The 25,854-nt window shown below is 39.3% G+C and overlaps 1 protein-coding gene and 1 non-coding gene across 3 annotated transcripts in view; both read right to left on the minus strand.

The window, feature by feature from the left end:
- Positions 1-25,854, minus strand: part of RTN1 (reticulon 1) — a 274,801-nt gene that overhangs the window by 27,805 nt on the left and 221,142 nt on the right. The window contains exon 1 of one of the 2 annotated variants that reach the window (NM_206852.3): positions 6,666-6,843. The exons of the other annotated variant lie outside the window; for it this stretch is intronic. Coding sequence (NP_996734.1) covers positions 6,666-6,726 — 61 coding nt within the window. The 5' untranslated portion in view covers positions 6,727-6,843. Of the gene's footprint in view, positions 1-6,665; positions 6,844-25,854 lie in introns of those variants that run through there. 2 annotated transcript variants of the gene reach the window in all.
- Positions 23,182-23,240, minus strand: MIR5586 (microRNA 5586). The gene has a single exon (NR_049851.1). It is a non-coding gene; the product is annotated as a microRNA 5586 (primary transcript).

Consider the following 25,854-nt stretch of genomic DNA (forward strand, 5'->3'; position numbering starts at 1 on the left):
TTTAAAATTTGGGCCAAGATGATAACAGCAAAAATATTTCTTGAACTAAAAAGACAAAAGGATTGATTTCTCATTGTACCTCTGTTCCATTCAATAAAATATTATGTTCTTCTTGATGCCAATTATCACCAAATTTGAAATTTGCCAATCTGCAGTTTGGTGAAATATTTCTGAAGAAAGGGGATAAAATATGACCACATTTAAAGCATTTTCTTTGTAAAATGTGTAGAACTGCAATACTTTCTAAAAATTAAAACTTACAGTTGTGCTTTTCATTTGTTCAACATTAACACCAGCTTTGTCAAAGAGCTCAAGAGTAATGCTGAGATTATGTTTTTTCCTTTGGCAACATATAAAATAAGGAAGAATTTAGAATTTTATTTCATGAAACAATAAGATAACTTTGCTCAGCTTGAACTTAAAGATATAGCTCAAACATACTTTGGAAAAATAGAACACTATACTTTTAAGTTGTAAAACTCCTAACAGTTTTCTTATTTGAAATATATGCTGTAAGTTTGGAATATAATTTTAATTATCAAGATTTAAAGTAGTTAGCATTATTAACTGTCACCTAGGCAGAAGATGGCTTTTAAAGAATCATTAATGTCAAATTCCTAGCTTTCAAATTATGAGCTTAATTATAAGGCAGCCATATTTCTTTGAATGGCTGTATTTTCTTTTCTTTTTTTTTTTTTTGAGACGGCGTCTTGCTCTGTTGCCCAGGCTGGAGTGCAATGGCGTGATCTCAGCTCACTGCAACCTCTGCCCCCTGGGTTCAAGCAATTCTCCTGCCTCAGCCTCCCGAGTAGTTAGGACTACAGGCGTGTGCCACCACGCCTGACTAGTTTTTGTATTTTTAGTAGAGATGAAGTTTCACTGTGTTGCCCAGGCTGGTCTCGAACTCCTGACCTCAGGTGGTCCACCTACCTCAGCCTCCCAAAGTGCTGGGATTACAGGCGTGAGCCAACTGTGCCTGGCCTGTACTTTCATAAGAACTAGAAAGGTGACAGTATATCAACAATACATGGGTGCAAACATGCACACAACTTAGGAGGATGAGAAATTTGCCTGTGACAAACATTTAATTATTTTCAAAAAGAAAAGTGTTATTCTGAAAGCTAACCACTGAAGGCCCAACTCATAATAGATCTGGTTTTCTTGGATTCAATGGATTTTATAATTTAATTCTATTATAAGGTAACTTAAAATATACCAATTACTTCACATTCTGTTCCAGAACATATTAACTGGTCTAAAGATGAGAAATAACTGTGTACAGATTATCATTTCAAATATAAGGGAGGGAGGGAAGGAGGGAAAGAGAGACTTTTTAAAAATGATGAAGAAGGAAGGGCCTGGTAACTATAATGGACGATGTCATCCACAATCCCTATTGATATATAGTAATCATAATATTTTTGTCATAGAATATTAGGATTATCGTTTTTTAATGAAACAAGTATTCACAGAAATCTGAGAACAATAATAGATTTGAAGATGTAAATTTAGATCAGTATTTCGTCAACCTTTCTAACCCACAATGAATCTTTAAAAAAAATGTTGGACACTGCAGAGTGTCCCTCTGTAGGGTCTAAAACTGCAACATGTAACTAAAAATGATTCAAACCTTTTGATGTTTATCTAGTCTTTTTCTCAATTTCCAGGAAAGAAAAGCTCATATAGTAAAGAAACATGGATCTGACGTTCCACAATTCTTTCAGTTTCATGTCCACTTCTTCCGTTAAATTATTTTAAATACTTTTTGTAACATATTCAATCTTATTTTATCAACACTGTTTTTGTTGCCTACCTAGCCCTTTAGTTTCATTTTTATGCAATATCTAGATAATATTCAGCAAATCTTAACAACGATTAACTCTGGGTGGTAGGATTTTGGGTAATTAGTGGCTTTTATTTGAACTTCTCTTTGTACAAATGAAAATGTTCATAATGTGCCTTCCTCATTTTTAGAAAAAAATAAAGCCATTATTCCCCTCCCAAAGTTCGAAATATTTCCTTAAAAAGTTTTTCTTGAAAATGTTAATACATTTTGAAAAAGAACTTTATTTTTCAATGGAGTGATTGATTACCTACATTTGGTATATTATCTGCATAATACGAGTTTTCTTTCACTAAGGGGGAAAAAAAATCCCCTTCTCCCCAGCTAAGGCAGTTTTCCCATTGGATCCCATTAGAATCTTTAGAGCCAGGGAGTCTGCAATTGTTAATATTTACATTGTAATATTTGTATAATACTTTAATAATAATGGGTCTAAATAAAATGCTGATTTTCATAAAAGGTGATATTAGTCTGCCTTTATGTATATGTGTAAAATGTCTTTCCCAAATACTATTCCCAAAGGCATGCTTTTTTTCAATTACTGTGGCTAAAACAGATTATTTCCTCGGTGTATTCTGGAATGCTTAGCTCTTTAATGTTTCAGACTAGCTCCTTTCAGAACAGACTATCCTGAAGTGTTTCCACGAACACTGTAGACCAGCATAAAAGTTTCAAAATATTTTATAAAAAAAGATTGCCTTTAGGTTATGCTCTCTGGAAAGTGTTTCATCTTCCATCAATAACTTACATTCTGGCAATCTGTAACTACAAAATGCTGCCACGCAGAGTAAAGTGGGAGGTGACCTCTAGCCCCAGGCACACATGTATCAATCAACCATACTACTAAGCATCCTGCCAGGTGAATTTGTTGAGTACAGTGAGATCTGGGGAGAAAAAATGATCTTTAGAGAACAAACAGAATCATGTGGATGCATGGTTCTAATCAAACTTTGTTCCCCTAGTACAACACCATTCGGATTTGGGTAGTACAGTCGAAGTGTTAAAAGAATAGGCTTCATGATCATAATGTTCTGTGTTCAGAACCCAGTTACGTCCTGGGGCAAACTGCTGCCCCTCTCATTCTTAAATCCCTTAGTTACCTCCTTTATAACATGAGAGTAATAAAAAAAGTCTCACGGAGGCTTAATTAAAGCAGGTATGTAACAAGAACTTAGGACAGCACCTGGCACGTAGCTAATATTTACGGAGAATTTAGAATGATGAATTGATGATGGTGGTGATGACAGTGACAACCATGGTATAAATTGGTCAAGATCATGGCCTTGCTGCTAAATTTTGTTGTATTTGTAAAGGTTAGAATGTCTGTGAAAATATCTCAGATGAGGTAGATGAGAGTTCACTTTCTCTAACTTAGTGTTAGTAAGATAGGCAGTGAGTGCTGAGATGGGAGGAGTTATGGATTTGAAGCCAAGAGAATCACCTTTTACTACACAATCTGCTACCAAAAAACCTTGGGCAAGTCAGTTAACTTCTGAGCCTCATAATGTCCAAGAGTAAACTGAAAAGCTCAAATGAGAAGACGTCTGGCAAAATGAAGACTTGTAAATGTGAAGGGGTTATTAAGCCTACACAATCACCATTACATAGATAATTTAAACCTTTAGAAAAATCATTGAGGAAAAAGCCATCAACCTCAGCGGCAGAAGGTGGAGCAGTGGGAAGTGAGGGTCTCTGGAGACAGCCCAGGCTTGCAGCCAGCCTCTGGCATTACTATCTGTGTGCCCTTACCAAAGCCTCAGTCATCCCCTCCAAAATGAGGACAATAATAAAACTTACACCACACAGGTTTTGTGGGGACTAAATGTAGTAATTCAAACAAACCACTCAGTAAAGAGTCCTGTAAATTGTAGGATGGTACTGATCTGTAAGATTGTTATCTATACAGGTGTTTTGCTAGGTTGTCATTTAATTCTCATTTTGTTTTCACTGAGTAGAATGTGCTTTGATTTATTAACCAATATTTGGTGGTAGTATAACTTTTTAAAATTAGAAGCAGAATTGGTGTGATGTAGTATATATAAGGAGGACTTTAGCCTCCCTTTCTTTAAACATTCTTGTCTGTAGCTGAAATTATATATGTTGATAAGGTTCCTTCTGCATGTGCACTACAGTGTTTATGGCACACTATAATTAGTTTCAGTGGAGTCTTCATGAAATATTCAATCTGCTGCAATTTCTCCATGTAGTATTTAATAACATGAAGAAAACCTAAAGCTCACATTATTTCCTTTCCAAGCAAAACTTGTCCCTCCTAATCCTTCTGGAGGACATCATCAACAGTGTTGCACTGACCTTTTTCCACTGCATTCACAGCTGCTTCTAGATCACACCCATTTTTTTTTTTTAAATTGGTATCCTGGACCTCTGCTGGTCTATGGGTTTGGCTCACTAAGAATTATTACACACCATGCCGGGCATGGTGACTCAAGCCTGTAATCCCAACACTTTGGGAGGCTGAGGCAGGAGGATTGCTTGAGGCCAGGAGTTTGATACCAGCCTGGGCAACATAGTGAGACAACGTCTCTACAAAATAATAATAATATTCCAGTGACTTCAACCCTGGTTACATATTAAACTCACCTAGGGAGCTTTTCAAAAAATACTGATGCTCAGCTCAATTGAATCAGAATCTCAAAAGGTGGGGCCCAGGCATCCTTCGTGGTTTTTAAAGCTTCCCAGGTGATTCTAATGGGCAGACAGGGTTAAGCACAACTGTTTTTGATAATAAGGGAACTAAAGGGAAGAGGATACACTAAAAATGCTAAACAACAACAACAACAAAACCTCAATGTAGATTCTGTTAAGGTTAAAAGTTCTCACAGTGAGGAGAAAAAAAAGGAATAATTCACTCCTTACAATTTCTCTTTTGTGCTCATAAGTCCTCCCACCCAGTTACTTATTAGTCAATTTTCAAGATAATGGATTTGTTCCATCTAACAAAAGGAAATCAATGGTACTAAAGATGACCAAAGGTCGCTGAGTATAAAAGATTCTCAATGATCTTCAATTAATCTTCACAAGTAGCTCTGCATCAGAAATGAAAAATTATTGTCTTCAATGGCGAAACTATGACATTTTGTGTTAATTTCTAATGATAAAAGTCCATGTGTTTTTTTAAAACCTCGGAGACATAAACTGAGGCAACCGAGTCAAACCGCATAAGATTGTGATGAAATAGATTAAGATATTTAATTCATAAGATTTTGTGAATATCTTATACAAATAGAAAAGAAAACCTGCCATCTTTGGATATCTACTTTTGTTAAAAATACTAGAAACTCATAATCATGGTCTAAAATCCAGTGTTTATGTCCAACTAAATTTGATCTTATACCAAGCCATAGTTGTTTGTCAGGTGTGTATATCAAATAAACTGGATGGATCTAAACACAGAACAAGAATAAAATGTTACAAAATATTTTCACAGCTGCCTTCTATATTGAACATATGTTCTTCCACGTAATTGTCATCATTCTTCAAAACATTGTGCCTCAACTGGCATACATTTCTTATTTACTGGCTTTTAAATTTATCAGCTCCATCGATTTACTTTTGACAACGGTATTTCCAACACTCACATAATTTGAAGTAGACGACTGTATTTTATGTCATTGCCACCCAATCCAACAAACAAGAGGCAAGGTAAGCAGGCTTTTAATTCTGAGATTTATGTTTACTTTTTCTTAAAATATATACCGAAGCAAAACCCTACAGAGGCATTAAAGATAAAAGGACATCCTATCCTTCCTGTGATATAGAATTACAAGGGGAAGATGCCAGGTTTTTACAAAATCAGCTGCTGCTCCAGAGTATTCTTGGTCTCCTGAGGGATGCTGCAAAACCCTGCAGGTTAAATTAAACGCGCCTTCTTCAGAACCATCTTTGTTAAATATGAAAAGACACTACCTCCGACAAACACCCAAGTTACTACACACAATTCATTCTTGCAAATTATCTTTCTCCTCATACTCTGTAACTGCAAGGTGAATTTTAATGTAACAAAGGAGAGATGGATGTGTGAAGTGTGAGGCTGAATAAAAATGGCTGAAAAGCAATCCAAGCGAGGCTGGAGGGTAGCCACACCCAGTGCTAATATGGACTATTCCAAAATAAATCTGTTATACCAAGGGCCACGGGCACTGTTTCGTTCTTTCCCTCCATTTATTTCACAGATACCTATTATTAATAAATAGTAGTCACAGGTTACTCCAATGACAGAAAAAAACCCCAAATATTTCAAAGTGAACCATCCTAATATGTGGCTACGCCATCATATTTTCAGGATTTCGAGAGCTAGTCTGCATCTCCACTCTCCTTTGTGTGACCACAAATAACAACCCTGAAATGGGTGTGTCCCTCTTAAAAGGATGCACTCCAGCCCTCTCAGTTAATGGTTCTGCCAGGAGATTTCAACCTTTGGGCAGAAATAAATGCACTGGGATGCATGGAACAATAAGAAAGCACTTTAACTCCGGGGATGAGAAAACATTAAACAAGTACTGAATGATGCACAGATCCCAAAAGAACTCCCGGAGGAGGCGATTGATGCATTATTTAAAATACCAGCATTACAACAAGAAAACAAAGGGGTGGGGGTGGGGTTAAAAAAAAAAAGAAAAAAACAACAACCAAGCACCATCCATTTTGATTCTTGAAATAAGAGGTTTACTACCCCCCAACACAAAGCTCTGGGGTATAAAGCATGCACAGGTCCCACAGGTGAAATGATGCACAATGGACGAGTCCAGGTCCCGGGTTTCCCGTGCGCCTCAGGCATGCACTACTGAAATAAAGAGAATACCCTGACTTTTCCAGTTGCTCCACACACAGTCCATCTTGGTGGAATCGGCAGTGGCCTGCATCGTGCGGGCTTTGGGGGCTCGCCGTGGCTCTCCTCGGGGGCGCCGAGCGTGCACTCAAGCGTTGGTGCCCGGCTGCTGCGGCTGGGCTCGCAGTGGCCGCGCGGCTGCGGAGAGACTGAGGCTGCACCAGGCGGCGCGCGGTGAGGGGCGGGAGCGTCGCTGGCGCCGCAGTCTGCGCGGCCGGCAGCGAATCAGCGCGGCGCGGCCCCGGAGCCGCCTGCGCGCATGGGGATGCGGGCGCCGCTCCACGCGACAGCGTTGGCTGGGCTGCCCAAGGGTGCTACCCTGGAGACGGGTAAAGCGGTTCTGGCCGCGAAGGCGCTGACGCGGACAGTGGGTGGGAGGTTTGGGAGGAGGGGAAAAAGGGCTGACGGTGGGGGTGAGAGGAGGAGGACTTGGGCTGTTCCTGGGAGTTCTTGACTCCCAGAATATGCGAGGTGCATATTCTAGAAATTTCTGAGAAACCCAAGAAACCTGCTGGACAAGACCAAGTCAACGGCATCATAAATGTCAGGCTTGCAGCATAATGTTCCCTAATTGTTGCCACCGTTTACCTTTCACTTCTCCCTCTAACTCTTAAAAATCTGAACTCGATGAATTTTAATTGCCCAGAATCTTCTGAAGAATTGCCAGATTCTCTCCTTTTGGAATATTCCACAGATATCCAAAACCTTTGTTGGCAAGCAACAATCACTGGAGAGAAAGCCTACTGCTCTGTCCCAGAGGGCTTGTGTATTTCTTGGGTTACCCCTCTCTGTTTGTGGGTTGAAGGAATCCATGTCAGAATGCGGTGCCTGTAGACCCCAGACCAAAGCCCTTGGACTCTGGTACGTGGAGTCATTGGTCAATGCAGTGACAATCCAAGGGTGTCATTTGTGGGGACGTTCAAACAGAACTCAGGGAAGCAAAGGGCATTCTGTCTCAACAGTGTCATCTTTGGGATTGACCACTGGGGGGCAATGGAGGTGGGTGGTGTGTATTTGGGAGATAAGACTTTTGGCTTCCAAGCCCAGGTAGTTAAGGATGTCAGGAGTCCACAGTTAAAATGCAAATGTCTAAGGAAGGAACAGAACAATGGGTGGTGACCTGCTTTTTAAATCTTACCATAAACTACTTTATCAGAACATACATCAAGACCCTGAAGGAATGGATGGGATAAATGTATTTTGATGAAGAAAAGGTAGAAATAGGAAAGAGAAAGGACTGGAATGTGGGCATTGTCTGGAAAAGAAGGTACTGTTGGAAGGGGTCCCTAGAGGAGACAAGACACTGCATGAGGACAGAGAATGCCCTGGAGACCACGGGAGCATACAGAAGAGTTCAGAGGGAGCAGGAACAAACTTTCCACTTCATCTTGTGGCATGGCCTTATCCATTACAGGGTCTTTTTCATAGAGAAGTGGAGCCTTCCCGATTCTTCTACAGTTGCCAGAGGTGTTCTTTCCCAGATCAAAATCTACATTTGCATACCCCACACCAGCATGGGCCTAAGGACAGTAATCTCAAGGTTATGCTTGTAGACATGATTTATCATCTTTCATTTTAATGAAGCATATACACTTTAAAATACGATCTTTGGGATCATGTGTATTCTTTTCAGAATACAAGCTTGTGGAGAAACCAGCTGGGCCTCTCTGCGTATCTTTGTAACATATCTGAAATTATTCTTGATAAAGCTTAATGGGGTGTCAGAGCTCCCACAGGGCTGATGGGAAGGAACAACAATGACCACATTATTACAAAGCACTTTTCACAATGACCTACTCTAAGGTTATTCTTGATTATTTTTTCTATTTGTATTCCCTACCTTTCCTCCCTCCTCCCAATTTTTTTCATTGCCACGTCATTTTTGGGAATTCTGTCAGTTAAATACTGAAAAGACTGGTATATGATGATAGCCTGATCAGCACCGACTTCTCACTGCATGATATGAGGACAAGACTGAGAAGAAAGGAGAGGGTAAGGCAGGGGTTGCCTGGTGGGCTTTTGCTGCCCTGGCTGCTTTTCAGTTGGAGGGAGATCTTTAGAGCTGTGGCCACTAGGAGGCACTGCCAGTCCAATGATAGCCCCAGTTATCATTCCCTAAGTCCAGAAGGTGCCAGCAGGTACCTTTACTGATGAGTATTGTGTCCACCACATTACGGGAAACAGCGTGTACTGCCAATCTGACAGTCTGTATAGTGTGTATGGTGAATACACAATGTTCCCAATAAGGAACAGGGAGAAGCAAGCTCTCTTTAAAGTGGAGGATACATTAGGTCAGACTTTCTGGGCCAGGCGTTTTCATTGACCATAAAGTTGACCTTGGGGCCAGGCGCGGTGGTTCACTCCTGTAATCCTAGCATTTTGGAAGGCCGAGGTGAGTGGATCACTTGAGCCAGGAGCTCAAGACCAGCCTGGGCAACATGGTGAAACCCCATCTCTAAAAAAAATACAAAAAAAAAATTTTTTCCGGGCATGGTGGCATGCACCTGTACTCCTAGCTACTTGGGAGGCTGAAGTGGGAAGATCACTTGAACCCAGGGAGATCGAGGCTGCAGTGAGTTGTGATCGCACCACTGCACTCCAGCCTGGGTGACATAGTGAGACCCCGTCTAAAAGCTGACCTTGGAATGTCAGCTTGGCTGAAAGATCACATTATTTTCATTCATACTAAGTGTGGAGAGAGATGTTGGATGGCACACAAAAATCCACTCTAACAGTTTGATAGTTGAAGGTTGAGGAAGTAAGATGGCTATTTCACAGACAGATTCACACTAGTGAAGTAAAAATTGGCGGGCTTTAGCTTAATGTGTAGGTGGTAAGAGAAACATAAATGAACTTATTCACGGAAAACTAGGAATCACCTGTATTGTAAAAGTTAGCTACATGGCCTTCAGCAAGTCATTTATCATCTCTGGACCTCTCATAATTATAATACAAATAAATGGAAGCTTTAGGTGTTTGTCATTATGAAATAATAAGAATTTATTTCCCATAAACATCGTAAATGGGTGCTTTCTTTGCACAACTGCTCACACAGTATTAATTGAAAGCTCTTGCCAAGATCAAAACGATAAAATGGGTAGAGAAGATATGTAAATTTTCCTTAAGTGGTGAAAGAAAACAGAAAGCAAAATAAAGCTTGCTAAAAGTAGGCAGGAACTGCCACTATCTTTAAACCAGTAGAGAACAGACGGGCTTTATCTGCAGCCAGCTTAGAACTTGGTTAAGGTGCTTGCCAGGAGAGGAAGTGATTTCTTTACTTTTCAGGATTAAATCATGCATTAGGCAGTCTGTTCTCAGGAAAAGCAAAATAGTCAAGTTTTGTAATCTCATCCCAGGTCAAGATTAATATTGAAGGCTAGCATTCCCAGAGTGGCTTTATTGTGTCTGTCTCCTCTGGCACCAGAATTTTACTGATGGGAATCAGTGGCATCTGCATTGATACATTTATTCAACAAATATTTATTGAGTACCTGCTGTGTGCTGGACACTGTTCTAGGCATAAAGCAGAGTTCCTACTTTATACGCTGGTGTTTATGTGTGGGCAAATAATAACCAAAAAGGTAAATATATAATATTCATTTGTAGACAAGTGTATGGGAAAAATAAAGCACATAAAAGAGGACAGAGTGGAGGTGAGGTGAAAATTTGCTATTTTATAAGGAGGGTCAGCAAAGGCCCGGAGCAGACACCTAAAGGAGCAGGAGAATGCCATTAAGATATATGGGAGAAGAACATTCACAGATGCACTGCGTTTTCATGACAGAATGTAATAATTGGTACACTATATAAGCATCTTCATTTTTTTCTTGTTCTGAGAAATATAGCAATTGGAATAAAAGGCACAGAACCAAAAATATACTTCATTATGATCAAAGAACACTGAGAACTCTATGCCATATGGAATAAGGAAATTTTAAAAGGCAACCAGTTTGGCACATAACCCACTGTAGCAGAATAATGCATGAATATGGAGTTTCAAACAATAGATTAGCACATGTTATTTGCCAGGTGCTTCTTCATGTGGTATACATTTAGTTGTTACAAGATCCCTATGAGTTAGTGTTTACCCTTATTTCTTGATTCATTTATTCATTTGATCTACAAATATTTATAGAGCCCATACTAAGGACCTGTCTCCATAAATACAAAGGGAGCTGCCCACTGGGAACTCGAGTCCAGAGGGGGAAAATTTTACACATAAATAGATAAATGCAATAACTAACAGACCTATGAGCAGGAAAGAGTGGGTACACAAACAGAGAGTGGCTAGGGAGAAGAACAGGTTTCAGGAAAGGCTTTAGAGGGTAGGTAAAGTTGAGCTGAGTTATGAACAAGAAATAGCATCACCAGTTTGAGTCATGGGGATTTCCTGGCAGACAGAAATGGAATTAATGGGAAACTTAATTACAGAAATGTGCAGGGGCTAGATCATGCCAGTCCTGAGTAGTAATACTGGCAGTAAATGAGGGAGACACTGAAGGGTTTTGAGAAGTGGACTAACACGGGAACTTGAATAATTTATCCAAATTTGCAGTTTTCCAGAAATGATAAATTCTAGGGTTATGACAGTCAATCAGCCCTTAGCAAGACAAGTAATAAATCAATACCCCGACCCACATTATAGTGAACATGTAAGGCATCGCAGACAAGGAGAAAATCTTAAAAGCAAGCATAAATCAAAGGCAGATTACCTCAGAGAAACTGTTAGACCAACAGCAGTCTTTAATAGAACCAGAATCTAATAGTTTGAGAAAATAACATCTTCAAAGTAGCAAACGAATGTAATCATCATCTTGAATTCTATACCCAGCAAGACTAACAGACCTTTTCAAATATGTAATCAATGAGAAAATTTACTAATTGCAGACCCTGAAGAAAAATCTACCAAAGGTGACACTTTAGGAAGAAAAAAATTGAACCTTAGAAATGAATTGCATGAAAAAAATGCTGGACATAAAAATTATTAAAGGCCAGCTTGAGGATTTATAAAAGAAAGGTAAAATTAAAACAGGAGACAAAAACAGAACATAAGGTGGAAGGGAGTGGGAAGAGTAAAAGCATTCTACAGTCCTTTCATTGTTTAGGAGGAAAATAGAAGTACCAGCTGTAGACTTTGGCAACTCATATTTGTGTATTAAATATTTGTCAGCGGAAAAGAAAATAATTAGAATATATAACTTCTAAATAAATAAATTGCATAAACTAGAGAATTAATCAAACAATAGAAATTAGGAAAGGGGAAAATAAGAAAATACAAAGAACTGGTAAATGGAAAGCACAAAATGAAGTGTCATAAGTCCTCACTTAACATCGTTGATAGGTTCTTGGAAACTGCAACTTTAAAGAAAAAGACATATAAGAGAATGAATATTTTTTTTCTCATCAGTGTTAATAATGAATCTACCTTGCATGAAATGACATTATTGAAGAACCTGCTGTACATCTTTTCACTTAAAGTTATAGTTTCCAAGAACCTATGACATTGAGGACTTACATTATTGGAAATACATCTAAATATATCTAACTTGTACCAGCTGGAAAGATGGAAACTATCAGATTGGATGAAAAAAATCTAGCCAGAGGATGCCTACAAAAGAAAATCTAAATACATAGTTGAAATAGGAAAGTTTAAAGTAGAAATGGAAAATGCTATACCGAGTGATGTGGTTTGGATATTTTTCCCCTCCAAATCTCATGTTGAAATATGATTCCCAATGTTGGAGGTGGGGCCTGGTGGGAGGTGATTGGATCATGGAGGTGGATCCCTCATGGTTTAGCACCATCCCCTTGGTGATAAGTGGGTTTTCACTCAGTTCATATGAGGTGTGGTTGTTTAAGAGTCTGGGACCACCCCTCTTGCCCTCTGCTCCCTTGCTCCACTCTCGCCATGTGATGTGCCTGCTCCCACTTCACCTTCTGCCATGATTGTAAGCTTCCCGAGGCCCTCGCCAGACACTGAGCAGATGTTCGTGGCATACTTGTACAGCCCGCAGATCCGTGAGCCAATTAAACCTTTTTTCTTTATAAATAACCCAGTCTCAGGTATTCCTTTATAGTAACAAAAGAACAGCCTAACACACTAGGTTAATAGAGTATTATATAGTGACCTTGCTAAATTTACTTATTAATTCCGTTTGAAGATTCTTTAAAAATTTTTATGCACATAGAGGCATACCTTAGAGATATTGTGGGTTCTGTTTGAGACCACTACAATGAAGTGAATATTGCAATAAAGTGAGTCACATGATTTTTGGGGTTTCCAAGTGCACATAAAAGTAATGTTTACACTATACTGTAGTCTATTAATTGTGCAATAGCATTATGATTACAAAAAATTCACATGCCTTGATTTAAAAATATTTTATTGATAAAATGCTAATAATCTTCTGAGCCTTCAGTAATTCATAATAATCTTTTTGCTGGTGGAGGGTCTTGCCTCGATGTTGATAGCTGCTGACCAGGGTCATGGTTATTGAAGATTGGAGTGGTTGCAGCAATTTTTGAAAGTAAGACAGCAGTAAAGTTTGCCACATTGATTGATTCTTCCTTTTATTAAAGATTTTTCTGTAGCACACAATGTTGTTCGAGAGCACCTTACCCACAGTAGAAGTTCTTTTAAAATTGGAGTCAATCCTCTCAAACTCTGCCACTCTCTATCAACTAAGTTTATGTAATATTCTAAATCTTTTGTTGTCATTTCAACAGTGTTCACAGCATCTTCACCAGGAGTAAATTCCATCTCAAGAAACCACTTTCTTTGGTCATCCATAAGAAGCAACTCCTCATCCATTCAAGTTTGATCCTGATATTGCACCAATTCAGTCATATCTTTGGGCTCTACTTCTAATTCTGGTTCTTTTGTTATTTTCACCATATCTGCACTTACTTCCTCCACTGAAGTCTTGGACCCCTGAAAGTCATCCATAAAGATTGGAATCAGCCAGGCACGGTGGCTTACGCCTGTAATCCCAGCACTTTGGGAGGCTGAGGCAGGCGGCTCACGAAGTCAAGAGATCGAGACCATCCTGGCCAACATGGTGAAACCCCATCTCTACTAAAAATACAAAAATTAGCTGGGTGTGGTGGTGCGTGCCTGTAGTCCCAGCTACTCAGGAGGCTGTGGCAGGAGAATCGCTTGAACCTGGGAGGCAGAGGTTGCAGTGAGCCAAGATCGTGCCACTGCACTCCAGCCTGGCAACAGAGGGAGACTCCGTCTCAAAAAAAAAAAAAAAAATTGGAATCAACATTTTCCAAACTCTTGTTATGGAGGATGACCTCCTCCCATGAATCACAAATGTTCTTAATGACATTTAGAATGGTGAACCCTTTCCAGAGCATTTAATATGGCAGCTATAGACTTACAATTTTTTTTTTCCCGAGATGGAGTTTCACTCGTCTCCCAGGCTGGAGTGCAGTGGCGCGATCTCGGCTCACTGCAACTTCCGCCTCCTGGGTTCAAGTGATTCTCCTGCCTCAGCCTCCCAAGTTGCTGGGACTACAAGCACCTGCCACCACGCCCAGCTAATTTTGGTATTTTTAGTAGAGACAGGGTTTCACCATGTTGGCCAGGCTGGCCTCGAACTCCTGATCTCAGGTGATCCGCCCCCTTCAGTCTCCCAAAATGCTGGGATTACAGGCATGAGCCACTGCGCCCAGCCACAAAATGTATTTTAAATATAAGACTTGAAGGTCAAAATTACTGTTTGATCCATGGGCTGCAGAATGGATGTTGTGTTAGCAGGCAAGAAAACATTCATTTCCTTGCACATTTCTATTAGAGCTCTTAGGTGACCAGGTTCATGGTCAATGAGCAGTAATATTTTGAAAGGAATATGTATTTTTTCCTAAACAGTAGTTCTCAACAGTTATCTTAAAATATTCAGTAAACTATGCTGTAAACAGATGTCCTGTTATCCAGGCTTTGATGTTAAATTTATTGAGCATAGACAGAGTAGAGTAGATTTAACATAATTCTTAAGGGCCCTAGAATGTTCTGAATAGTAAATTAACATTGTCTTCAACTTAAAGTCACCAGCTGCAATGTAGTCACCTTCATCAATGATCTTTGGAATAACTTGCTGTAGCTTCTCCATTAGCACTTGCTGCTTCCCCTGGCATTTTTTATGTCATGGAGAAGGCTTCTTTCCTTAACTCTCATGAACCAACCTCTGCTAGCTTCCAACTTTTCTCCTGCAGCTTCCTCACCTCTCTCAGCCTTCATAAAATTAAAGAGTGAGGGCCTTGGTCTGGATTAGGCTTTGGCTTAAGGGAATGTTAGGGTTGGTTTGGTCTTCTAACCAGACCACTGAAACTTTCTCCATATCAGCAATGAGGCTGTTTTGCTTTCTTATCAATCATGTGTTCACTGAAATAGTACTTTTCATTTCCTTCAAGAATTCTTCCTTTGCATTTACAACTTGGATAACTGTTTGGCCTTGCTTTTGGCCTATCTTAGCTTTCAACATGCTTTGTTTACTAAGATTAATCATTTCTAGCGTTTGATTTAAAGTGAGAGATGTATGACTCTTCCTTTCACTCGAACACTTAGAAGCCACTGTAGGGTTATTCATTGGCCTAACCGAAATACTGCAGTGTCTGAGGGAATAAAGAGACGTGAGAAGAGGAAGAGAGACTAGAGAATGGCCAGTTGGTTGAGCAGTCAGAACACACACAACATTTATTGATTAAGTTAGCCATCTTCTATAGGTGCAGTTTGTGGCACCCCAAAATAATTACAACAGTAATATCAAGATCACTGATCACAGATCACCATAACAGTTGTCATAACTAGAAAAGAGTTTAAAATAGTATAAGAATCAGCAAAATGTTACAGAGACATGAAGTAAGCAGATGCTGTTGAAAAGATGGTGCTAATAAACTTACTCAATGCAGGTTTGCCACAAACCTTCAATTTGTGTTTTAAAAAAAGCAGTATCTGCAAAGTACAATAAAATGAGGTATGCTTGTAATCATATCTTCTGTGAATAAAAATGGGTTTATTTTTTCCGTTCCAATCTTTGTACTTTTATCTCTTTTACCTTGTCCTACTGCACTGGCTATGACCTCCAGTATAATGATGAGTAGAAGTGGTAACAGATTATTCTTTGTCTTACTCCTGAAGTAAGGGAAAACTGTGCTCAAAATTTTTACTATGAAGTATGATGTTGGCTGTGAGTTTTTAGCTGTCCTTTATCAGATTAATAAAGTGTCCTTTGTTTCCCAGTTTTCTGAGAGTTTTTGTTATGAACAGATATTGAATTTTATCAAATACTTTTTCTAAAGCTATTGAGATGACCACATGGATTTTTTTATTTTTTTAATATAAAAATTACATGCATCAAATTTTGAATGTTAAACTTTGCATTTCTAGAATAACCTCACATGGCTTCTATGTGACATCATTTTAATATATCACTATTCAATTTGGATTCAATATGCTAATATTTTGTGTAGAATTTTTGTATCCATATTGAAGAAATATTGTCCTTCAATTTTCTTTTCTTGCAATATGCTTGTACATCTTGTGATAGCTTAGATTTTTGTATTAGGTTTATACTGGCCTCACAAAGCAAGTTAGAAAATGTTACTCCCTCCTGTATTTGCTGAAAGAGTTTATGTAAGATGGTATTATTTCATATTGGAATATTTGGAAGAATTCACCACCAAGCCCATCTGGGCTGGGACTTTTCTTTGTAAAACAGTTTGTAATTATAGATTTCTTTAATAGATGTTAGGATTATTCTAATTCCATTTTTAAATTTCTGCTTATGTCAATGTTGGTTTTTATTTCCAAATGAATTTGTCCATTTTATTTAATTAATTAATTTATTTATTTATTTTTTGAGATGGAGTCTTGCTCTGTCACCAGGCTGGAGTGCAGTGGCGTGATCTCAGCTCACTGAAGCCTCCACCTCCCAGGTTCAAGCGATTCTCCTGCCTCAGCCTCTTGAGTAGCTGGGACTACAGGTGTGCACTACCACGCACAGCTGATTTTTGTATTTTTAGTAGAGATGGGGTTTCACCATCTTGGCCAGGATGGTCTCGATCTCTTGACCTCATGATCTGCCTGCCTCGGCCTCCCAAAGTGCTGGGATTACAGGCGTGAGCCACCGTGCCTGGCCTGACTTTGTCCATTTTAAATATGTTGTCAGTTTCTTGGCATAAATTTTTTATAACATCATCTTATGTTTTTTAACAAAATGGAGGTGCCATAGCCATGTCCCTTCTTTCATTTCTGATATTGTTAAATTTTATTTTCTCTTTATTTCTTGATCATCTTGAAGATTTTTCAATATTATGAATTCATTTTAAAGAATAAAATTTTTACTTTTTTCTTTTTATCTATTGTATATCTGCTTTCTATTTCATTCCATTTTGTTTCTTTGTTTTTATTTTCAATTATTTCTTTTCTTTTGCTTTAATTCACTATTGTTTTACTAACTTCTTCAAATGAAAGCTTATTTTCACTTTCCTTCCTTTCCTTCTGAGACAGGGTCTTGCCCTGTTGCCCACACTGAAGTGCAGTGGTGCAATCATGGCTCACTGCAGCCTTGACCTGGGCTCAGGTGATCCTCCCACCTCAGCCTCTAAAGCAGCTAGGGACTACAGGCATGTGCCACCGCACGTGGCTAATTTTTTTGGGGGGGGTATTTTTTGTAGAGATGGAGTTTTGCCATGTTACCCAGGCTGGTCTTGAACTCCTGGGTTTGGGACATCCACCCACCTTGGCCTCCCAAGTGTTAGGATTACAGGTATGAGCTACCATACCTGGCCTGTTCTTCTTTTCTTGCCTTCTTTGAAATTAATCAAGTATATTTTTATAAATCATTTCTTCTAATAGCTTATAGTTTTATCTTTTTGGACATTTTATTTATTTATTTATTTGTTTGTTTTTGAGACAGAGTTTCACTCTGTCACCCAGGCTGGAGTGCAGTGGTGCGATCTCAGCTCACTGCAACCTCTGCCTCCTGGGTTCAAGCAATTCTCCTTCCTCAGCCTCCTGAATAGCTGGGATTACAGGTGCATACTACCACACACAGCTAATTTTTTGTATTTTTAGTAGAAACAGGGTTTTACCATGTTGGTCAGGCTAGTCTTGAACTCCCGACCTCAGGTGATCCACCCGCCTTGGCCTCCCAAAGTGCTGGGATTACAGGCATGAGCCACCATGCCAGGCCTCTTTTTGAACATTTTAGTGATTATTCTAGAAATTACAATGTTCATCCTTAATATGTTGAAGCCAATCTTAAATTAGCAAGTTTACAAATTCTTGTACAATACAAGTTTCTTACAACATCAAACTCCCTTAGTCTCTGTCTCCTTTTGTGCTAGGGCTTTTATATATCATTGGTGCTATAAACACCAAATTATATAACAGTTTTTTGTTGTAAAAAAATTAATAATCTTTCACATTTACTCACATATTTATCCTTTCCAGTGTTTTTCATCTCTTCCTGTCATACCATTCATACCATTCCTTCCATCTGAGATCCTTTTGTTTCAGTCCAAAGAATTTTCTTTACCATTCCTTTTATCTCAGGTCATGGCAAGTATTTATATTAACTTTTCTTTGAGAATAACTTTATCTTATTTTCATTTTTGAATGATAGTTTCATTGGGCAGAGGTTTAATTTGGCAGTTTTTTTCTTTCAGCAATTTAAATATTTCATTCCACCAACATCTAGACTTAATAATTTCAGTTGAAAGGTCAGTAATTAGTCTTTTTGTTGCTTCTTAGAAAGTAACTGTTATGACTGTTTTTAAGATTTTCTCTTTAGCTTTGGTTTGATGCAGCTTGATTATGACAGTTTTATTATTCCTTTTGGGTTTACTGAGCTTCTTAAATCTGTGGATTGATGCCTTTTATCAATTTTGAATAATGTCTCATATATATTTCTTCAAATATTCCTTCCGACCCATTTTCTTTTCTCCTCTTCTATGAAAGCAATTTTTCATATGCTAGACCTTCTGAAAATGTTTCACAAGTTTTTTATACTCTACTCTTTTCTTTTTATATTTTTATTCTCTTTATCTGCCACTTCGGATATTTGATATTGAGCTATCTTTGAGTTTACTAATTCTGTCTTCTGTGTTCAAAGTCTTATTAAACATAGTCAATTAAGTCATAATTTCAGAAATTTTACCTTTCAGTTCTAGTAATTTTACTTTTTTAAATAGTTTCCATGTCTCTGTTGAAATTCTTCATCTTTTTTATCAATTTTCTTTCACATATTTATAATAGTTATTTTGAAGTCTTTATCAGCCATATCCAATATCTGGATCATCTATGGGTCTGCTTCTATCATCTCCTTTTTTGCTTGATTGTTGGTCTCATGTTTTTGCCTGTTATATGTCTAATAATATCTTATAGCATGATGGGCTTTGTGTATTAAAGAATCACAAAGACTGACAGTTGATGCTATTTTCCTTCAGAAAAGTTGCTCCTGCCTCTAGTAAGTAGCAACTGAGGAATTGATAAATTCCCATCAGAAATTAAGCTGAGTTATGGTGGGTTGCAGTTTTAGTTAGGCTAGGCCTACCTCTGGTTTCAGTGATCTCATAGATGGCATTTGAAATGTGATTGTTTTAGGCCAATAAGCCTCTGGCTAGTCTAAGAAAAAAGAAAGAACACAAGGCCAAGGATGGTGGATCATTCCTGTAATCCCAGCACTTTGGGAGGCCAAAGTGGGAAGACTGCTTGAGACAAGAAGTTTGAGATCAGCCTGGGTAACTTAGGGAGACCCTGTCTCTACAAAAAATAAAAAAAAAATTCAGGCATGGTGCTGTGCACCTGTAGTCCTAGCTATTTGGGAGGCTGAGGTGTTCAAGCAACTCTCCTGCCTCAGCCTCCTGAGTAGCTGGGATTACAGGTGCCTGCCACCATGCCTGGCTAATTTTTGTATTTTTAGTAGAGATGGGGTTTCACCATCTTGGTCAGGCTGGTCTCGGACTCCTGACCTCATGACCCATCCGCGTTGGCCTCCCAAAGTGCTAGGATTACAGGCGTGGGCCACCACACCTGGCCTCCTGAACTTTTAATGCATGCCTCAGACAGATCTACTAGTTGAAGGCTGAAACTTTGTGAACTTGAGACATTTGAGCACTACTATCATTAGCCGTCTGCTGAACTATGCAGACAAAAGGGGGATGCTTAGTAAGACAGGATACACAATAAAAACAAAACTGAGCAGAGATATCAGCAGCTATATACCATGGAAAAGATAGATCAGTCAGATTAAGTCAGAAAAGTTACTAAAAACAAACAAAAAATCAAAACAATAACAATAACTCTCAGTTAAAATGTCAGAATCTAAAGTTGTCACATTATATTAACCAAATGTTCAATTTTCAACAAAAAATTACTAGACATACAGAAACAAAAGAATGATCCATACTCAAGAAAAAAAAATAAAAACTTACTATGACTAGGTCTAGATATTGATTTAGCAGACAAAAACTTCAAAGCAGCTACTATGAATATGTTCAAAGAATAAAAAGAAACTACATTTAAAGACTTTGTGAAAAATAGGATGATAATGATTCAACAAATAGGAAGTACTGATAAAGACACAGAAACTCTAAAAGGGAGCTAACAGGAAATTCTGGAGATAAAAGTACAATAACTCTCTAAGTTTTAAAGATGGGCAACTAGAAGCAACTGGTGTGTGTTGCTCTTATGGAGAGCAATAGAAGGGGCGAATAAATACAGCACCTTCAACTGAAACATCCAGGTACATGTATTAGGATTCATCAAGAAAACAACTCAATCCACAAAGAATGGAGAAAGGCAAGGCAGGATGATCACTTACCCAGGAGCAACATGGAGCCAGGGGAGCCTCCCCTACCTGGGAATCGGTGAGTGAGTGAGTGACCCTAAGACCCATGCTTCTCCCAGGTCTCTTTACAACCCTCAGGTCAAGAGATCACCTCATTGAACCCACTCCATCAGGGCCTGTGGTATGACATGTAGAGCTATGTGGAGTCTTGGCAGAGCAGCTGCTCAGGCACACGTGGAGCCCCGGGAGCTTTAGATACCCGGGCTTCCTGGCAAAAGCAGCTGTAACTGACAAAGTGGGAGGTTAGACCCCCATACATACCCCGAGGAAAGGGGCTGAATCCAGGGGACTGAGCAGTGACAGTCTGCAGACCCTGTTTCCATGGTACCTCACAGGACGAGACCCACTGGTTTGGAAGTCTAGCTAGCCACCGATGGTGGCATTATACCTCCCTGAGATGGAGCTCCCAGAGGGAGGGGCAGGCTGTCATCTTTGGTGTTTCACAGCCTTGGCTGTCGTTGCCTTCAGTACAGCCACCCTACAGAAAAGTGGCCAGACTGCTTCTCTTTCCATGGGTCCCTGGCCTTGCTTCTCATGGGGCAGGATCTCCTGACTGGGGTCACCAGCCGCCCTTGCCAGTGTTTTCCAGCTGGCAGTGGTTCCAAGCCTCCCTGGAATGGAGCTCCCAGGGGGAGGACAGGCCACCATCTTTGCTGTTTCACAGCCTTAGCTCTTCTTGCCATAGGGCTCTAGAGAGTCCAAGGCAACTAGGGACTGGGGCAGTTCCCCAGCACAGCAAAGCAGCTCTGTGAAGCTGCAGCTAGACTGCCTTTCCTTATGGGTCCTGGACCCTATTTCTCCTCACTGGGCAGAATCTCCTGACCAAGATTTACAACTACCCTCGCCAGTATGTTCAAGCTGGCAACAGATCCATACCTCCCTGGGATGGAGCTCCCAGAGGGAGTGACACACTGCCATCTTTGCTGTTTTGCAGCCTTGATTGTTGATACCTTCAGGTGCTGGAAAATCTGAGGTGATTAGAAACTGGAGCAGACCTCCTGCATATTCCAGCAGCCCAATGGAAAAGTGGCCAGACTTTTATATATGTTTGTTACATGTTTTCTATATATTACATGTTTTCTATATGTTACATGTTTTCTACATGTTACATGTTTTCTATATGTTTGTTACATGAGTCCCTGTTCCCGTATCTCCTCACTGGGCAGGTTCTCCCAGCCTGGGTCTCCAGCCTTTCCCCACTGGAGCTATTGAGCCAGTAGCAGTTCTTCAGCTCTCTGGGACAGAGCTCCCAGTGGGAGGGGTGGGTTGCCATCTTTGCTGTCTCACAGCCCTCACCCTTCTTGTCTCCAGGCTCTAGAGAGTCCATGGGGACCCGGCACTGGTCTGAACCCCCAGCACAGAGCATCCACCTAATGGAAAAGTGTCCATACTGTTCTCCACGCAGGTCCTGGTCCTCACTTCTCTTCACTGGGCAGAGTTACCAGGCCCAGGACTCCAGTGCAACCACTCTGCCCCTGCCTGACCGCTTCAATCAGAGGCAGCCCAGCAGTTAAGAGAACACCTAAATGCAGAGATGAGAAAGAACCAACACAAGAACTCTGACAAGTCAGATGACCAGAGTGTCTTATATCCTCCAAATGACTACACTAGTTCTTCAACAAGGATTCTTAACCAGGGTTGGCTGGAATAACAGAAAGAAAATTCAGAATACTGATAGGAACAAAGATCATTGAGGTTCCAGAGAATGGCAAAATCCAATCCGAGAAAACTAACAATCAAAATAAAATGATACCGAAGCTGACAGATAAAATAGCCAGTATAAAAGAACTCATCTGATAGAGCTGAAAAACAAACTGCAAGATTTTCACAATGCAGTCACAAGAATTAACAGCAAAATAGACCAAACTGAGGAAGAAATCTCAGAACTTGGAAGACTGGCTCTTTTAAACACGACAGTCATATACAGATAAAGAAAAAATAATGAAAAGGAACAAATAAAACCTCTGAGAAATATGGGATTATATAAAGAGGCCCAAACTATAAATCACTGGCATCCCTGAAAGGGATTGGGGGAAAGCAAACAACTTGGAAAACATATTTCAGGATATCTTCTGTGAAAACTTTCCCAACCTCACTACAGAGGCCAACAGTCAAATTCAGGAAATACAGAGAACCTCTGCAAGATTCTCCATAAGAATATCATCACCAAGATACACAATCAGACTTTCCAGGGTCAAAATGAAAGAAGGAATGTTAAAAGCAGCTAGAGAGAAAGGGAACCCCATCAGGCTAGCAGCAGACCTCTCAGCAGAAACCCTACAAGCCTGAAGAGATTGGGGGCCTATATTCAACATTCTCAATGAAGAAAATCTTCAACCAAGAATTTCATATCCAGCCAAACTAACCTTCCTCAGTGAAGAAGAAATAAGATCCTTTTCAGATAAGCAAATGCTGAGGGAGATCATTACCACCAGATCTGCTTTACAAGAGATCTTGAACGAAGCACTAAATATGGAAAGACCATTACCAGCCAATTAAAAAAAAACACAAGTACAGAGGCCAGTGACACTATAAAGCAACCACACAAACAAGCTGGCATAAAAAACAGATAACAATACAATGACAGAATCAAATCCACACATATCAATAATAATCTTGAAGGGGTCTTGCTTCTTTAACCAGCTTGTCACTCTGTGCCCCATTTAAAAAGCATATAGTAACAAGCTGGATAAAGAAGCAAGGCCCAATGGTATGCTGTCTTCAAGAGACCCATCTCACATGCAGTGACATCCATATGCTCAAAATAAAGGGATGGAGGAAAATCTACCAAGCAAATGGAAAACAGAAAAAAGCAGGGGTTGCAATCCCAATCTCAGACAAACAGACTTTAAACAAACAAAAATCAAAAAAGACAAGAGCGTTACATAATGGTAAAGGGTTCAATTCAACAAGAAAACCTAACTCTCCTAATACGTATGCACCCAACACAGGGACACCCAGATTCACAAAGCAAGTTCTCAAGAGACCTGCAAAGAGACTTAGACTCCAACACAATAATAGTGGGAGACTTCAACACTTACTGACAGAACTAGACAGATGATCAAGGCAGAAAATTAACAAGGATATTTCAGACCCAAATTCAACACTGGACCAAATGGATCTGATAGATCTCCACAGAACTCTCCACCCCAAAACAACAGACTATACATTCTTCTCATCACCACATGGCACATATTGTAAAGTCAACCACACAGTTGGTTATATAACAATTTTCAGCAAATGTAAAAGAACTGAAATCATACCAAATTCACTCTTGGATAGCAGTGAAAATCAAGACTACAAAAAACTCAAAACATGCAGTTACATGGAAATTAAACAACCTGCTCCTGAATGGCTTTTGGGTAAATAATGAAATTAAGGAAGAAATCAAGAAATTCTTTGAAACTAATGAGAACAAAGATACAACATACCAGAATCTCTGGGACACAGCTAAGGCAGTGTTAAGAGGGAAATTTATAGCACTAAATTCCAACTTAATATCAAAAGTTAGAATCATCTCAAATGTATAACCTAACCCTGCAACTAAAAGAACTAGAGAAGCAAGAGCAAACCAACTCCAGAGCTAGCAGAAGACAAGAAATAACCAAAATCAGGGCTGAATTGAAGGAGATCAAGACATTAAAAGCCATGAAAAAATAAGCAAATCCAAGAGTTGGTGTTTTGAAAAACATTAATAAGGTAGTCCACTACCTAGACTAATAAAGAAGAAAAGACAGATCCAAATAAACACAATCAGAAATGACAAATGGGATGTTACCATTGACCCCACAGAAATACAAATAACTATTACAGACTATTATGAACACCTCTATGCACACATGCACACAAATTAGAAAACCTAGAAGAGATAAATAAATTCCTGGACACATATACCTTCTCAAGACTGAACCAGGAAGAAATTGCTTCCCTGACCAGACCAATAATGAGCTTTGAAATTGAATCAGTAATAAATAGTCTATCAACCAAAAAGTCCAGGACCAGATGGATTCACAGCTGCATTCTGCCATTAAAATAAAGAAAGAAGAGCTGGTACCATTCCTACTGAAACTATTCCAACAAAATGAGAAGGGACTCCTCCCCAACTAATTCTGTGAGGCCAGCATCATCCTGAAACCAAAACCTGGCAGAGACACAACAAAGAAAACTTCAGCCCCATATCCTTGATGAACACTGAGGCAAAAATCCTCAACAAAATACTTGGAAACTGAATCCAGCAGCACATCAAGAAGTTAATCCACCATGATCAAGAAGGCTTTATCCCTGGGATGCAAGGTTGGTTCAATATATGCAAATCAACAAATGTGATTCATCACATAAACAGAACTAAAGACAAAAATCACATTATTAGTTCAATAGATGCAGAAAAACTTTTGATAAAATTCAACATTCATTTATGTTAAAAACTCTCAATAAACTTTGTATTGAAGGAACATACCTCAAAATAATAAGAGCCATCTATGACTAAACCACAGCCAACATCATACAGAATGGACAAAACCAGGAAGCATTCCCCCTGAAAACTGGCATAAGACGAGGATGCCCTCTCTCACCACCCCTATTCAACATAGTATTGGATGTCCTGGCCTTAGCACTCAGGCAAGAGAAAGAAATAAATGGCATTCAGGTAGTGTGATGCCACTAGCTTTGTTCTTTTTACTTATGACAAGGCTAGAGTAACCAAAACAGTATGGTACTGGTACCAAAACAGATATATAGACCAACGAAACAGAACAGAGGCCTCAGAAATAATGCCACACATTTACAACCATCTGATCTTTGACAAACCTGACAAAAACAAGCAATGGGGAAAGGATGCCCTATTTAATAAATGGTGTTGGGAAAACTGGCTAGCCATATGCAGAAAACTGAAACTGGACACCTTCCTTACACCTTATACAAAAGTTAACTCAAGATGGATTGAAGACTTAAAAGTAAGACCTAAAACCATAAAAACCCTAGAAGAAAACCTAGGCAATATCATTCTGGACACTGGCATGGGCAAAGACTTCATGACTGAAACACCAAAAGCAATGGCAACAAAAGCCAAAATTGACAATTGGGATCTAATTAAACTGAAGGGCTTCTTCACAGCAAAATAAACTATCATCAGCATGAACAGGCAACCTACAGAATGGGAGAAAATTTTTGCAATGTATCCATCTAACAAAGGTCTAATATCCAGAAGCTACAAGGAACTTAAAACAAATTTATAAAAAAAAACCATCAAAAAGTGGGCAAAGGATATGAACAGACACTTCTCAAAAGAAGACATTTATGTGGCTAAC

The sequence above is a fragment of the Homo sapiens genome, chromosome 14 (assembly GCF_000001405.40).
Source record: "Homo sapiens chromosome 14, GRCh38.p14 Primary Assembly".
Taxonomy (NCBI): Eukaryota; Metazoa; Chordata; class Mammalia; order Primates; family Hominidae; genus Homo; species Homo sapiens.